Below are 17,802 nucleotides of genomic sequence, written 5' to 3' on the forward strand. Positions count from 1 at the left end.
TAGGTTAAACAGCCAATTCATCATGTTTTGATTTAAAATGTGTCCATATCATTCTTCCCCAAATTCAAGTATATTTTAATAATCCATTTCTGTCACTTATATTATGGATTCAAGAATAAACTAAGCAAATGGATCATTTGTTTGCCTTCCAGTTATACATGAAGAAATTAATGTTTTATTAAAGAAAAAAGCCATCAAAATCAATTTTCCATCTGCACTCTTTTATTTGTTGCAATACTGTTTATAACAGCTAAGATTTGGAAACACCCTAAGTGTTCATCAACAGATGAATGAAGAAAATGTGGTTCACATACAAAATGGAGTACTCTTCAGCCATAAAAGAGAATGAGATCCTGTCACTTGCGACAGCATGGATGGAACTGGAGGTCATTATGTTAAGTGAAATAGGCCAGGCATAGAAAGACAAACATTGCCATGTTCTCATTTATTTGTGGGATCTAAAAACCAAAACAACGGAACTCATGGATATAGAGTAGAAGGATGGTTAGTAAAGGCTGAAAAAAGTAGTAGACAGCTGAGATAATGGTGGGGCAGAGGTGGGGATAGGTTAATGGGTACAAAAAAAGTAGAAAGAATGAGTAAAACTTACTATATGATAGCACAATAGGGTGACTATAGTCAATAAAAACTTAACTGCATATTTTAAAATACAGAGTGTAATCAGGTTGTTTGTAACACAAAGGATAAATGTTGAGGGGATGGATACCCCATTCTCCATGATGTGCTTATTTCACAGTGCATGCCTGTATCAAAACATTTCATGTACTCCATAAATATATGCACCTAGTATGTACACAAAAATTAAAAAATAAAAAAGATTTCCCATCAAATATTCTTTCAGAGAAGATGTGAACAAAGATCCAGAATTATTGATCAGTCTAGGCAAACAGAGTATCAAACAGCCTAATATGATTTTCTCCTCTGCTAAATAATACTGGGAAGGCAGGAAGGTGGGCTTCTCTATGGATTGAAGTTAAGAGAAAGAAGTGCCAGGAGTTCAGTCCACGCATGACAACTTACTAGTACTGCCTACTTGAAGAGATTAGCTCTTACAACCTTATCTTTGTCTCATCTATAAAACTGAGGGAGCAGGTTAAAAAAATCTTATATGTTAATACATGACTTATCCTACTCCATGTCTCTATTACAATGAAAGATCATACACAGTCTGGAAGAAAATGTTAAATTTACTGTGACTTTTCACAGTAATAGAGACAGAGTAACAGAGACACGGGGTAGAATATGTCACGTATCAGTACTAACTACTATCAAAGTATGTTAAGTTTATGCCGTAATAATGACTTTTAGGAAACAATGAAGATTTACAGTGACTTCCTAAGGTGAATTTGGACAAAAATATTGAGATAATACCACTCACCAGTGTCACTATTTTACAGAGATAAGCCTTCAATGTCACATGAACCACTCTATTTTTAATATTAGAATTCTGAAGTTTTTAAGCATCAGAATCTTCAGCTTTCTCAAATGAAGAATGGTAATTATATGCTATTTTCTTTTTTAATTTGAAGACAAAAGTTGGGAAATTATTATGCTTTTACTTTTATATTACAAAAGGGTGTTACTTGCAACTAGCATCTATATATCTAAATAACGTTTAGTGACTTAATTCTCTGCAACAGTAAAAAGTACTCAATTTAGATTTTAGTAAGTTGACTGTCAGATGGTTGCTCTCTGGCAGAAGTTTAAATATATATATTCATAGATATTTTTACATCTAGCAATCAGTAAATATTTATCTCTTTTTCTTGCACTTTGCATTTAATAATTTAAAAGGAAAAATTTAACAGATGATAAATATCAAACCAAAAAAGTCAACAAATCTTAATAATCTCAAAATATACAAGGGCAAAGTGATACATAAACCAATACAGAATACATTTGTCTGCACATTTTTGCATAAATTTTAAAAAGCATATAATTCTGTAATTTTAATTTTATAGAGCTTTCCCTAAAATATTTTTTATTTTATTTAAAAATGAGTTTATTTTCAAATAAGAAGATTAAGTCTAAAAATCAGTGCAAAAGATTGATGGTGATGATGTATCAATGCAATTTGATGCATCCGTTTCGCTGTCTTGCAAAAGGTGCAGTGACCAATGGGCTGTCTGTACTCTCAATACAGATGTAGTATTCTGAGAAGAGATCATTTGTTAAGAGCGGATTTAAGACAGAGAGTGTATTCATTCTTTCAAAAATAACACATATGAGAAGATGGAAATTCATTTACATAACAGTAACGCTGAATCAATATATTTTCAGCTTGCCCTGATGTGGAAGAAATATACCATCTCATTAGTCCTTGGTAGGCAGTTGGTATCTGGAATATGAAGAGCGTAGCATCATTGCTTTTATGTAATTGGTTTATTGAATCCAAATGGTGGTTCCATGCATTATCAAATAACCACTGCTTCAATATTAGTCCCTGGAACTGTCTCCATAAAGTTAATTCCAATCCTTTGCTGTCTTAGTGTGTATGTAAACCTTAATGAGACATGTTCCAGTTAACTGCACATATTCAATTTTGGGTAATCTATGGGAATTTGGCCCCATGGTCATAAACCTTTGATCAGACTGGCAGATTTAATAAACATCATGTAAATGTTAACTTAACTTGGAGTGAACAGCCTTCAGTTTACATTCCAAAAGTGATTAGATGAAAGGATAATACACAATGATATTTATGCCTAGAGCAGTTCAAAATTTAGAAAAGGAATTAGTGATCTTCAGTTAAGCTATTTTTTTTAATAAATTGAAAAGATGTTCTGTACAACATAATAGAGTCATAGGAAATCAAAAGCATATCAGTAACAACTTTTAGAAAAAGAAATGAATGATGAAAAACAGATATGACCTCTCAATATCTTGGGGAAGTAAGTTAGGATGATGTTTCATTCACGTCTTAATGATATAAATAAAGGATAACTCTGTGTAAGAAGTAGTGTTTGTATCTGGTGGTAAATTTAGTTAAAAACATAATCACAAGTTACAAAAACTGTAATTACAAATTACAAAGAAAAACAGGCAGACAATCTTGTATTGACATCCTCTTGCATCTTGTTACCTACCAATGTTCTGTTCCATTATAAAATTCAATACTAAAATTTCATAGCTAACATTCAATATTAATTTCAACATTAAAATGTATCAAAATCATTAAAAACAGTCAATTAGAAAAAGCAATACACCAAAAATAATGGTAGTGTTTCCAGGCTTCAACTGTGTTGTATTAACCATCACACAGGAGAATAAAAGGGCTGTGAATTTTAGATAGGCCACTTGGCTCTGGATTCCAGGACTATGGAAATGCCAGTGAAGGTAGTCCAAGAAGCATTTCTTGTTTTATAATATCAGCAGAGGACCAAAAAAAGGGATCCCAGATATGTTTTCAAGTAACAAAAAACATTAAAGTGCAATTTTGTCTTTTACATCTGAACAAAAGTTCTGTCATTTTTAAAAAATAAAGTAGGGCCACAGCTTTATAGTCATTTTCTCATCTAAAACCCCACAATTATTAACACAGATCAAACTGCAGTTTTGGAAGAGAGCCTTTGGACGGGGAAACTACTGAACAGTGATGAATGGCCATACCTAATTCATTGTTTGGAAATTGATGTGGAGGACTGTGTTTCACCGAGGGAGAAAGGGACCTCCCAGAGGCTCTGAGGCTGCAGATCTTCAGCCAGGTGACAGCACTGCACCTGCTGTGTGCACCCTGATGGCAACAGCAGGGAAGTCCACAGTCACGATGATAGAGACAGCCACAGCTGCCAATCAGAAGACTCACTCTTTCTGGTTTTCATGGACTGCGTTTTGCACATCGAGCTCACTGTTTAGAGCTGTCCTAGCACTCTTCTTTTTTTGAGACTTTTGACTCATTTTCTTTGCGTAACTTTCTCTGTTGATAGATGCGTATGGCTATGGCAGTGATGCAAAGCAAAATAAATATCTCCACTGCTATCACACCTAGGGAGAGAAAAGAATAAAACATCATAATTTTTTTTCTTTTTTCTTTTTAGAGAGAGGGTCTCACTCTGTCGCCCACGCTGGAGTGCAGTGGCATGATCACAGCTAACTGTAGCCTTGATCCTCCCAAGTAGCTGAGACTATAGGCCCACTCCACCGTTCAGCTTATTTTTTTTTTTCTTTTTACAATTATTCTTTGTAGAGATGGGGTGTTGCTATGTTGCCCAGGCTGGTCTCGAACTCCTGGGCTAAAGTGATCCTCTCACCTTGGCCTCCCAAATTGTTGGGATTACAGGTGTGAGTTACCGTGCCTGGCCTCAATGTCAGAGTATAAATGGTGACTTTTGGTCCAATCAGAGGCTTTGCAGACATCATTGCTTTTTAAGTTTGGTTAAAATAAACCAACCACCTATTATATTATAAATTGAAAACACCAAAACTCAGAAATGCTGAGGTCAAGTAATTTTATAACATTTAACATACTTCTGACGGACTATGACTTTTGGATATGGCTGTGTTAGGCTTTTTCCCTACAGGTATATGATGATTGGGTTTTAGATAATGCTTTCAGATTTAAAAGAATAGAGACATACATGTCTCTAAGACCGCGTACATCCTTCAGTTAACAAGTGGGAAATTTTAAATCATTTTACAAGTATAGAGTGTTTGCATCATCATAGATCATTACATGTTATTGTTAGTACAATGAAATGGGTACATTTTAATGAAATTGTTTTCAAATACTTTTATGATAATACACTTTTCTTTTTTTTCTGAGACGGAGTCTTGCTCTGTCGCCCAGTCTGGAGTGCAGTGGTGCGATCTCGGCTCACTGCAAGCTCCGCCTCCCAGGTTCACGCCATTCTCCTGCCTCAGGCTCCTGAGTAGCTGGGACTACAGGCGCGCGCCACAGCGCCCGGCTAACTTTTTGCATTTTTAGTAGAGACGGGGTTTCACCGTGTTAGCTAGGATGGTCTCGATCTCCTGACCTCATGATCCGTCCGCCTCGGCCTCCCAAAGTGCTGGGATTACAGGCGTGAGCCAACGCGCCCGGCCGATAATATACTTTTCAAACGCAGTAGGGTCGCATATATGTAATCAATCCCTATTACCAAAAATATTGCAGGCATATTTATTCATTTTTTTTTTACCTGGAATGTGGATTATTTGAAAGACCTGGGCAAAATGTTTTAAAATATTGAAACCATTAGCAGTGTCCATGATTCTCGACTCTAGCTGCACACTAAGTCAGTAAATCAGAATAAATGAATGGAAGGCCTGGATACCAGTATCTTTATAAATTGTTTCAGGCTTTAATTCAGAGCCAGAGTGCTAAAGCATGAAGCCATGCCACAGAATGCTGTGTACTGAAGCAATCATATTAGTGACAAATGAAAGTAAAATCTACCCTAAAAGAAATAAATGTGTATAAAGACAAGCTTCTGAAGGTAATCAGAATATGTCACCCCCAAATATGCCTTTTTGACAAATATTTTGAAGTAAAGGCAATTAAGAAGCAGCCAATGGAGGAAGAGCTCTCTAGATCCTCCCCTCTTTTCATCTAAAGACAGGATGTAAATTATCTTTTACCGGAGACCATTCTTACCAGCTCAGGGATGTCAGCAGAAGAATGTACAAACACACGTACTCCACTAGTTTCTTCCCATATATTTATCTTCCCACGGTTTCTCGCCTTCGGACACCTAAAATTGCTTTCCATTGTCCTGTCATTTCTCCACAAATGTATTGTTGAAGATGAGCCAGACTTCTAAGCCACTGCGCTTTGAGTTTCACTGAGGTTTCTCCCACGTGCTGTGGACCGCATGCCTTAGTAAACTTGCTTGTTTTTCTCTTGTTAATCAGAGGTCTGTCCCAACTACAAAGTTAGGAATGATGAGGAGAAATTATATTTCCTCCCCCACGCTTTTACTGCCTACATCGTACATTTAAAGTACTTCACACAAATATTAATTTATATCTTCAGCCAGTCCCTATTAGAAAATGCAAATTGCCTTTGGGAAAGCCCAGGGGAAGCCTTCCACAGACTCCTTTTCATCCCCTCGTTCAGGCTAAGAATTTCTCAGCGGAAGAGAACACTGCTAAGATGTTTCCTTACGTTTACTCCGTCAATCTTGCCAGTGATATTTGACCACCAGCAATATAATACAATTCCAAAGAGCTGGTTCTATGATCAACTTGCCCATTTCCTTCTCACCAAAAGCTGGGTACTAACCCTGACATTGTGTAAACGTCTGTAGGACTTGGAAACCTAGCGTGAAAATGTTCGGCATGTTGAAATTGCTTTTGCATTGCAATGAAAAAAATCTCCTAAAAAGGCATGATTGATTTAGGATTGGATTTGATTTAAAATTGACCCCGAAAGTATACCTTTTAGATATGCATTATTGACCACAATCCCACTGGAAACTGTTTAAAACAGTTTTTGTTCATCAGGTCATGTATTTTTAATTTACACCTTACTGATTTCTAAGACAAAAAGAATTGAGATAGTGATGGAAATGTGAATATCCTCAACTGAAATTTAGTCAGAACTTTATTATGTCAAAATTGTTTCCTGTCATTTTGAAGGAAACAAACACAACTAGTTTACTCTTGTATGTGCTATGGAGAGTCTGCAGAATAAGAATACAATTAAGATTTCAATAACTCAGCCGGGCATGGTGGCTCATGCCTGTAATCCTAGCACTTTGGGAGGCCAAGGTAGGTGGATCATGAGGTCAGGAGATCGAGACCATTCTGGCTAACACGGTGAAACCCCGTCTCTACTAAAAATATAAAAAATTAGCCGTGCGTGGTGGTGGGCACCTGTATCCCCAGCTACTTGGGCGGCTGAGGCAGGAGAATGGGAGGCGGAGCTTGCAGTGAGCCAAGATGGCGCCACTGCACTCCAGCCTTTGCGACGAGCGAGACTCCGTCTCAAACAAACAAAGATTTCAATAATTCACTCATTAATTAACAAAGAAAGGTGAATGCTTATTTTTTGCACCAGCTCTAAATAAATTATATTTTAGAAAAAAAGTTTTCATTGCCAAAACATATTTTTAAGCTATGCTTAACTTCACTTTTCTTCAATTAAAAATAACCACAAAACATTCTTAGCCTATTAGATTAGTTCTTTCCAAAGTATGATTAAAAGTGAAACATACAATGGCTACTGCTGCACAACATTGTAAATGTCCTTAATGACAGGGAATTATACACTTTAAAATAACAATACACTTTAAATAATGTGTGCCTTTAAAACTTCTTAAATAATCACGCCTGTAATCCCAGCACTTTGGGAGGCCGAGGCGGGTGGATCACGAGGTCAGGAGATCGAGACCATCCTGGCTAACAGGGTGAAACCCCGCCTCTACTAAAAATACAAAAAATAGCCGGGCGTGGTGGCGGGCGCCTGTAGTTTCAGCTACTCAGGAGGCTGCGGCAGGAGAATGGCGTGAACCCGGGAAGCGGAGCTTGCAGTAAGTCGAGATTGCTTCACTGCACTCCAGCCTGGGCGACACAGCGAGACTCCGTCTCAAAAAACAAACAAACAAACAAAAACTTCTTAAATAAGTGAAACACTGTCATGGGAGTATCTAAATCATACTATTTGTCATTGAAGAAAAGTACCATAAAGTGTATGCTCTGATAATTAGCTGAGGTTTCCATTGCTTTGAACATAATTACTTCAGGTCCGTCCAACAGTTGTCATTACCGTGACAAATATCCCGCATGTCCTAGGGAATACAGCTATTTTCAAATTAATAACTTTTCATTATTAGCTTTGTAACTGTTCTTCAAAAAAAATTGTTTCAGCAGAATTCTTACATGCTGAGCACCCCCAGGGAAGCTGAAATCAGCAAATACTGCCTCAGAAAATCAACGAAGGCCGGGCATGGTGGCTCACGCCTGTGATCTCAGCACTTTGGGAGGCTGAGGCGGGCAGATCACTTGAGGCCAGGAGTTCGAAACCAGCACGGCCAATACGGAGAAACCCTGTGTCTACCAAAAACACAACAAATTAGCCAGGCATAGTGGCACACTCTTATAACCCTAACTATTCAGGAGGCTGAGGCAGGAGAATCGCTTGAACCCAGGAGGCAGAGGTTGCAGTGAGTGGAGATCTCACCACTGCACTCCAGCCTGGGTGACAGCGTGAGGCTCTTGTCTCAAATAGAAAAAAAACAAAGAACAAAAAACAAAAAACCACCACCAACCGCAATACATAGCACCCCTCTGACCTCACCATTGAGTATTGATTCTTACATATATTTCCCATTGTGCTAAGTAATGGTATCATTATCTAAAGCGATAATGACAAGCACCAGGTCATTCAGGGCCTTGTTACCTCCGATGACAGCAGAGTCTCTTCTGTCTGCATTAACCAAGGGCTCTCCCTCATCCACTGGTCCAGAACGACCTACAACAGGGAAAGGAAGAATGATGTTTAATAGCTTGATTTAATCACGCCACAATTTACACATAGCAAACTTTTGTCAATTAAAAGTGAATTAAAATAAGAACATCACAAAAATGTATTTTAAAAAAGGAAAAAAAGAAGGATGACAGAGACGGAGAAAAGAAGGCTTTTGAGAAATTCAAAAACATTTGAGAGAAGCGCAGTTTCAGGTGCGCAGGGGTGGAGGGCCACACACCTGCGCCCCCCGCGAGTCGGGGAGCCAGTTCCCGCGCCGGGGAGCCGGACGCCGCCCCCGCCGCGCAGCGGGCCATAGGGGCCACGTGGCCGCGGACGGTGACCCGGGAGGGGCCGCTGGGGCGCAGCGCCGCCTTCAGGGGAGCAGCGCAGCCGAAGCGCACCGCCGAGAGGCAGCCAGTGAAGCCACTAGTCGCCGCCCGCCTTGTGTCCGGGTCCGCGCCGGCAGCCTCTGAGGACAGAAGGGGAACACACAGTTAGGGCGCAGCGGCGGAGATGGGGGCGCAGGGACACCCCGCATCTGCAAGACAGCGACCCTCGTTCCTTCACTCCAGGAGAGGTCCCTCCGATCCCCTCGTTCCTTCACTCCAGGAGAGGTCACCCTGAATCTTTACCTGTTTGGCAACTATTTCCATTGTCAGGGTTATGAAAGGCAGGTTTTTAACAGATTTGTTCAAGTGCAGATGGCTGGCTCTCTGCAAGTAACAGAGCTTCATAGGAAAGCAGTTACATGGCATAAATTTAAGAAATCCTCTGCCATTTAATTTTTACAATATAGCATTAAAATAAAATTTTAATGGCGCTCACAGCCAATAATCCGGAGGATTACAGAAAAGCGACTCTTGGAGATGAGGGCAGAGCTCTGGAAATCCTTCATACTATAGTTGCTATTTTGTATGATGACTTTCATATTATCTTAATAAACTGTATCTTTTGTCATCAGATAATATCCCTCTTTATCTCATTTAAGATTCGATTATATTCCAATCTTAAATTCAATCTTATCTGAAAGTAGTGCTGCATTTCTTAAATTTATCAGCTGTTGCCTGCTAGTTCTTGGCATGCCCCTTCATTTTCAATATTCTAAGAGCATTTAACTGTTGTTTTTAAACCTAGTTTGACAGAATTTAGTCCATTTGTCTTTAGAGTAATAACCACTATATCTGATTTTATTTTTTATCTTACACTATTTATTTCACATTATTTCATCTTTTTTTCTTTTATTTTGCTGCTTTAATCAGTTTCCTTCTTATTTCCTGCTTTCCCTTTTATGAGTTTGAGAGCTCAACTTCCCTAGCCCTCACAATCAAAATCATGCCTTCACACTGTTATATGAAAACCAGATCCTCTTTTTCCAACTTTCCCCCATTCCCAACAGTGAGATGAGCGATTGCATGGTTCTTTCTCCCCACCCTCCCTCCCACACCACCGCGGGGTTCCCCACAACAGTTCTTCCCTAAATGAGAGGCTTGGGAAATTTTTCTTTTTCTTCTCTCACTTTTCCCTTTTTACTCTTCTTTGGTTTTACTCTAGTACATTTAGATCCTGACCAGAATGACAATTTCTCTTACATTTCTATTTTTCTATGATGTTTCCAGTTCAAGGATCTTTACATAATTTATTTTTTCCAAGAAAGAACTTTGACATGATGGACAAAGATTCTCCCTATGACCAGATGTTGGTCAGGCTACTCTAAGCTCTCTGCTCAACCAGCCTGACCTTTGGTCTTTCATCGTCCAGCTTAGCAAGAATCCTGCCAATTTGCTTTTAACCCAAATCTCCCACCCTCAATATCTGATCACTCTCAATATCTAATCACCTTTCTCATCCCTCTCACCACCCCACAGGTGATGTCTGACAACACTGGCCTGGCATCACCAGGAAACCTGGTGAGTCAGTTTAGCAAGAATTACTCTCCCATTTTGTAGTTTTCCACTCAGACACCCCACCCCAGCCACTCTGCTCCTTGGCTACGAATCCACACTTCTCCTTGTTGTATTTGAAGTTGAGCTCAGTCTCTTTCCCCAACTGCAAAGCCCCATTCCAGTAATTCCTATACCTATTGCCATAGTCCTGAATAAAGTCTGCCACACGATCTTAACAAGAGTATTTTTATCTTTTGACATGATACAAGATGGTTTTACATTAAGTAACTGTAGTTTAGAGAAGAATCACATAATTTTAGGGCAGACCTTTTTTTTTTTTTTTTTTTTTTTTTTTTTTTTTTTTGAGATGGAGTCTCACTCTGTCCCCAGGCTGGAGTGCAGTGGTGCAATCTCGGCTCACTGCAACCTCCGCCTCCTGGGTACAAGCGATTCTCCTGCCTCAGCCTCCCAAGTAGTTGGGACTACAGGCATGCACCACCACACCCAGCTAATTTTTTTTGTGTATTTTTAGTAGAGACGGGATTTCACCATGTTGGCCAGGACGGTCTCGATCTCTTGACCTTGTGATCTGCCCACCTTGGCCTCCCAAAGTGTCAGGATTACAGGCATGAGCCACTGCGCCCGGCCAGACTTCTCTTTAAAACCCTGAATAAAAACCTTGAGCAATTGTTTAATTTGGAGCTGATGAAACAGAGTAGAACTTTCTTACATCTTTAATAAATGACTTAATTAGAAAATGGTCATATATACTTTGTTTAAGCTGGAAAATCTGAAAGAAAGGAGTTCCTTTGCCCACTCTGAAGTGTACCTGGCAATCACACCACAATCCAGGAAGAAACTCGTGATTCTGTACTCCCAGATTTTAGCCAGCACTACTATTTATTGTTTATCAGTTAACCAATATTCAGTAGAACTCAACTCTTAACTGTGGTGACATGTAGATACAGTTTCCTGTCTATTACCTTGACATGGCAACATGGTCAAAACCCTTCACTTTTGCTACTCTTAGCTGAATAGCTCTAATCAAAAATGTATGGTGACCTGTCTGCCTCCCTTTCTGGGCTTTCTCAACTTCGGGGTCCTGCACCCAGCCCCCTTCCAATTCTCTATTCTGTTCCATCAAAGCCTGCTCCCGAGTAAATTCATGTTTGCACAAATTCCTGGTCATGGCTTTTGATAACACTTTCAGGGGCATGTGTATTTTGGCAGAAGAGTCAAAAGAATGGATCTCTAATACAGAATTTGAAATATTGGCACTTGACGTTGTGGGAAAAAAAATATTTGAGATAGGGTTGTCTTCCCAGCCCATTGAAGTCATGCCAAATAGACAGATGTCTATCCTTACAAAAGGGTGCCACTTGGTTGAACTAAAGGAAAAAACGACTAGATAAGTAAGTGGACAGTCTTCTACACTGTGCAATATGGTAGACACTAGCCACATGTGACCATTGAGATTCAAATCAGGCCAGGCACGGTGGCTCATGCCTGTAATCCCAGCACTTTGGGAGGCCGAGGCGGGCGGATCATGAGGTCAGGAGATCAAGACCATCCTGGCTAACATGGTGAAACCCCGTCTCTACTAAAAATAAAAATAAAAAAAAATAAAAAATAAAAAAAATTAGCCGGGCATGGTGGTGGGTGCCTGCAGTCTCAGCTACTTGGGAGGCTGAGGCAGGAGAATGGCGTGAACCCGGGAGGCAGAGCTTGCAGTGAGCTGAGTTCACGCCACTGTACTCCAGCCTGGATGACAGAGTGAGACTCGATCTCAAAAAAAAAAAAAAAAAAAGAAACTCAAATCAATTAAAATGAAATAAAATGTAAAATTTAGTCCCTCAGTTATACTAGCCCCATTTCTAGTGCTTAAAAACTCATTTATCTCAAGTGTGTCTGGGGACTACCACATAGGACAGCACAGACTTTACACGTTTTCATCATCACAGAAAGTTCTATTGGACAGCATTAGTTTTGTTGACTTATACTTTCAAAGACCTCAAGACATCTGTGATGCCCACTGAATCCTGGTTAATGGACCAAGTTAGAACAATCTTAGAATTTTCTATCGAAGAGAATCTTGAAGATAACTTAGTGCAGCCTCCTCATTTTACCAATAAAGGACTAATTGATATAATCATTGCTCTTTCTTGGGAAAAAAACCCCACAAAATCTCCTATCTTCTTGACTTTTTATAGGGTTTTTGGGTGTTTTTATTCTATAATGTTGAAAGAGGCAATCCACCACTGGCTCTGAGTGTCTCCTCATGCTTTGCTGGGTTTGCCAAGAAGTGCAAGATGCTGACAGCACTTTACTCAGGCCACTTCTCAAGGCTATAATTGAAGCAAGCAACATTGAAGGATAAGGTCATGACCCCCTCCAGGACAAAGAATAGACTTGCTTAGTGCTTGTTACAAAATCGGTGGATTCCCCAAACTCAGTGTTCCTCTGCTACAGTGCAAACATGGCCACAGGTGCAGCCTTCATCTGCACCCGTCACTGCCCCATAAGGCTTCAGGGCCAAGGGAAAACAATGCAAATGAACTGCTGCTCACGAGGCTTGCCGTGCCGTGAGTAATAGGGTCCTTTGTCTCTGTACCAGGACAGCATCCACAAAACAGTTAAAAGCTGTTAACTTCCTAGCTCGTAAATCAGGTAAAATCAAATCCCAGACCCAACATAAAACATTTCTTCTAAATGAGACAAACACCATAGCATAGAAGTAATATAAAATACATAGGTTGATGAATTTTAAATGTTAAAACTGTATGTCTTATGTGACATCTCCTTACAAAACTCAAAAGGCAATTTCCAGAAATATTTAATTACCAAAACTATTTGGCATTCTTACATACCTAGAGCTCTATTTGAAATATAGTCCTTCAGTGGGTTTTCTTTTCTTCAGCCTAGAATGTATACCTCCTAAGGTATATAAGCTCAGCTGTATTCATATGCAACTGTTTACAGGCTAACTTTTTTTACTTTTTGGGAGCAGACAAAAAGGCATCTTCCATTTTTGCACTCTGTATTTTTGATATATATATGTAATTTTTAAGATAGTGTTTAAGGGGCCGGGCGCGGTGGCTCACACCTGTAATCCCAGCACTTTGGGAGACTGAGGCGGGTGGATCACGAGGTCAGGAATTCGAGACCAGCCTGACCAACATGATGAAGCCCCGTCTCTACTAAAAATACAAAAATTAGCCAGGCGTGGTGGTACATGCCTGTAGTCCCAGCTACTCAGGAAGCTGAGGCAGGAGAATCGTGTGAACCTGGGAGGCGGAGGTTGCAGTGAGCCGAGATTGCGCCACTGCACTCCAGCCTGGGCGACAGAGTGATACTCATCTCAAAAGTGTTTAAATACATGTGCACATGTACACACACAAAGCAAAACAGAATACCAATAATACCAAAGTATCTAAAAACAAATCTTAATTTATGATGGATCATCTTTACTGAATTATAAAGTATTTTAGGTGTTTGCATTCTTTAAAGCTACCTCTTGGATAAAATTCAAAGCTATATAGAAAATTCAAAATCTAAAAAGCTTATATTTAAATAGGTTTACTCTGAATTGATCTTGTGATAATCAATCTGAATGGTCTTCATTCACTAAGACTACTCAGAAATGGCAAAATCATATTGAGGTGCTCAGAAACAGCATCTTAATTATGATGGATTTTGGGCCATTTTTTTCTAAGGCATTGTTAGGGTGCATAATAATAAATTAGGCTGGATATGAGCATTATTTTATTAGAATTGCTCATATATTACCCTATGTACCTATTAACATGTGAGTGTAGTGAGGGTGGGTAGGTATAGTGTTTCTCTCATTCAGAGGCTTTCTCCGTGCTTAATAAACTGTTCATAGCAGATGCTCACCAAGTTTTTTTTTTTTTTTTTTTTTTTTTTTTTTTGAGACAGAGTCTCGCTCTGTCATCCAGGCTGGAGTGCAGGATCTCTGCTCACTGCAAGCTCCGCCTCCTAGGTTCACGCCATTCTCCTGCCTCAGCCTCCCGAGTAGCTGGGACTACAGGCGCCCGCCACCGTGCCCGGCTAATTTTTTTTGTATTTTTAGTAGAGACAGGGTTTCACCGTGTTAGCCAGGATGGTCTGGATCTCCTGACCTCGTGATCCGCCCGCCTCGGCCTCCCAAAGTGCTGGGATTACAGGCGTAAGCCACCACGCCCAGCCGCTCACCAAATATTTTTAAATGAAGGGATGAATCAAAGATTTACAGGGACTCAAGAGAAATATATTGGTAACTTAGAACACCGTGTTTTGGGTAACTTTATTTGTAAAATTAGTGGCTTCTCTATTAGCCAACTTGTTGGTCTATTTTACTATAAGTTAAGGAAAGCACTTCCTATATAATTCCAAATTTAAAGATAAAGTTGTAGTTTTGGTATAATTACTAAATGATGTGAGAGTGGCAAAAAATGTATAGCAGAACCAATCCTAAAATACAGTTTTTCAAAGTATAAAGTGTTTTATTAATGTTTGATGATTATCTCTACCTCCAAGGACAGGCAAAATGAATATTTATAATTTTCTGAGATCAATTGCTTCTGAGTATATACTTCGTTGCTGAATTTCAATGTAGATTTTTATACCGTAAGTTACATGCCTTTGAATACACCATCCTTGAATGAAAACATTAACACCTTCAATTCCATGTTCTCCTTTATTTGGAAGGAAACAAAGATGTATATAATAAATATTATTCAACTTTTTGATCCTAATATTAAAGTATAGTTCATTTTCTTAATTGAGTTACATAAGATGGGTTTTTTTTAAAAAAGATTACTTTCCTCAGTTCCTTTATTAAATGTAAAGCTAACTGTGCTTTTACAACAGGTTATGATAGACAATATGATAGACAATTACTGTAACTTTCTACCTTGCGTAACAGATATTTATGAATATGCCTCCCCATTCCTGTTAGATACTAAAGTCAAAAAGGATGGAAACAACAGGCAAAGCAGGGCTTGAGAGAGAAATAAAACTGTATTCATCTGCTGTAATAAGATTACCAGTTTTTTCTCTTGTGTTCAACTCAAATGTAGTTTTATCATTGAATGATGGTCTCCGGAGTTGATGTTGATTAATACATACATAATCTGTGAACTTCGTGTCAGCTTTGATAACATTTCACTTTTCAAGAAGGGTTAGAAAAATACCGTGATTCATTATGCATGATTGCCAAGTGAGAGGTTAAGTGTGGAGGTATTTTTCCAGGAACGCCCTTGCACATCTCACAGGCAGCACTTACTCATGATTATATGTACACTCAGGCAAGAGTACAGTTTGCACCTTGATTGTCACTCACTGTGAAATTATTATTCAAGTAAGACAAGGAGCTTCTTTCAGCATGATGAATGCTTCCAGAGTTTGTGACATGACACTTAGATTTTTTGGGAAAAAGCTCTTTCTCCTACTTACCTAAAACCTTTCCCAATATGAGAGATTTGACGGCGTTGAATTCTGTCCCTGAGGACAAGATGACTTGTTTCTTTGCGCTCTGGTTAACCTATTAGATGTCCCATGAGAAGCAAACATCAACACAAAGTACAATTTTAATGATAAGGAAGCAAAGGAAGATGAGGAAAGGAAAGATGAAAATAAATCACTTTTAAGTACCACTACAAAAGCTCAAGAAGCCACCTTCAAATAATTAATCATTTAGAAGGGGAAGCTATTTTATAAGCAATTCCTATGATGCCATCAGCTACCACCCTATCCACGATGTACCCACTTGCTGGCTTTACTCTTCTTCATAATGGAAGGATCTATAATTGGCAGAATCCATGAAAAAGATGGAACTGGCTGTTTTAAACTTAAATACGTACTCATTCTGTGGAGAAAATATGAAACATAAAACCAAGCACTGCTGTTCTCTATACAGTATATTTTCCTTCCAATGCCAATGACAATGTGTAATTTACTTCCTCTGTGGTGACTCAGGTCTATTTTCTTACTTATTCCCATTTTAATAACTATGTTGTGTGCTTTTAAACCGTGTTTTTAAGTTGCTAAAGTATTTGTTCTTTTATAATCGGAATAAGACAAGTTCCCACTGCAATATCAATGAATAGATTCCACCAGTAGTCACTATGATAAACTAGAGAACATTCCCCTATTGAGTAAAGTAAAACAAATAAAGATATTTTGATATTTTAAATAGTAAAATATTAATAATACCTTTGACGGAATTGCATTGCTAAACAAACAAAACAAAGCAATACAGAATAAACAACCACCTCCTCTCTCCCAGATCCTGGCCATATTTGGCCTCTTCTTGACTTATGGAAGAGCAGCACTGAATGGGTTGCTCTTCTATTAATATTTATTATCAAATTTTTTCATTAGATTATTTGTTCTCAAAATAATAATATTAGTTAGTTTGACTTTTGCATTTGTGGGATTACCTCTACCATGACCACGGCTTCTTCTCTGTTAATCTTCACTTGGTGAAGTTGCCCATCAGCCATGTTTTTAAAATCAAAGGTAAATGCATCAGGATTTTGATGTCTATCTAGCTTGTACCTAATCTGCAAACTTCCTAAAAAGAAAAATAAATGGCATTTAAAATTAAAGTGGTATTTTATAAAACTCTTGATACAGATTCTAGAGCACTTTTATTATTATTTACTTATAGCACTTTTGAATCTATTTAGCATCAATTTAGATGCACCCAATAGTTATCTTTCCTGGAACAGTGATTACTTAGGTGCTATTCCTGTGCCAGACTCTGAGTCCAATGATGCTATTTTAAAAGTCAAGACTAAATGTGTTGTTAATAAGCAGTCTCCCCAAAGCTTTTCATTTAAAAATGAAAAGGTTTAAATTATGCATATGAGCTCAGAACTCAGATCTAAATTCATTATGACTTTGATATTTATGAAATGATGAAACTCTATGCAATATTGTATCAACATTCAGTTCCTGTAATTATAACTTCTAATAAGGCTCATTTTAATGTATTACTGATATGTGCATAAAGATTTTTTATAGCCAGATTATTTTAAGTCTTCTGCCATAATCCAAAAATGAGGACAAGAAAGGGTTTTGTCAGGAGACAAGGTTTCCATAGTATCTACATCTTCTAATATACATACTCCTCTCCTACACAGATGTACCCTCATTATCTGTAATTCTCTTTTAGCTTATACTAAGATCCTGTTAATCGGAGATTTTTTTTTTTTTTTTTTTTTGAGGTGGAGTCTCGCTCTGTCACCCAGGCTGGAGTGCAGTGGCGCGATCTCGGCTCACTGCAAGCTCCGCCTCCTGGGTTCACGCCATTCTCCTGCCTCAGCCTCCCGAGTAGCTGGGACTACAGGTGCCCACCACCATGCCCGGCTCATTTTTTGTATTTTTAGTAGAGATGGGGTTTCACCGTGTTAGCCAGGATGGTCTCGATCTCCTGACCTCGTGATCCACCCGCCTTGGCCTCCCAAAGTGCTGGGATTATAGGCGTGAGCC

At 38.8% G+C, this 17,802-nt stretch overlaps 1 protein-coding gene across 1 annotated transcript in view; it reads right to left on the reverse strand.

Moving 5' to 3' along the window:
* Positions 1-430: 430 nt before the first annotated feature.
* The window catches only part of CNTNAP3B (contactin associated protein family member 3B), a 238,891-nt gene continuing 221,519 nt past the window's right edge, over positions 431-17,802 (reverse strand). Inside the window, exons 20-24 of the mRNA NM_001201380.3 lie at positions 16,749-16,882; positions 15,763-15,850; positions 8,664-8,894; positions 8,357-8,428; positions 431-4,005 (exon numbers count right to left, since the gene is read on the reverse strand). Of these exons, the coding sequence (NP_001188309.2) occupies positions 3,884-4,005; positions 8,357-8,428; positions 8,664-8,894; positions 15,763-15,850; positions 16,749-16,882 (647 nt within the window). The 3' untranslated portion in view covers positions 431-3,883. The remainder of the gene's footprint in view (positions 4,006-8,356; positions 8,429-8,663; positions 8,895-15,762; positions 15,851-16,748; positions 16,883-17,802) is intronic.

Source organism: Homo sapiens, chromosome 9, assembly GCF_000001405.40.
Source record: "Homo sapiens chromosome 9, GRCh38.p14 Primary Assembly".
In the NCBI taxonomy this organism is placed as follows: domain Eukaryota; kingdom Metazoa; phylum Chordata; class Mammalia; order Primates; family Hominidae; genus Homo; species Homo sapiens.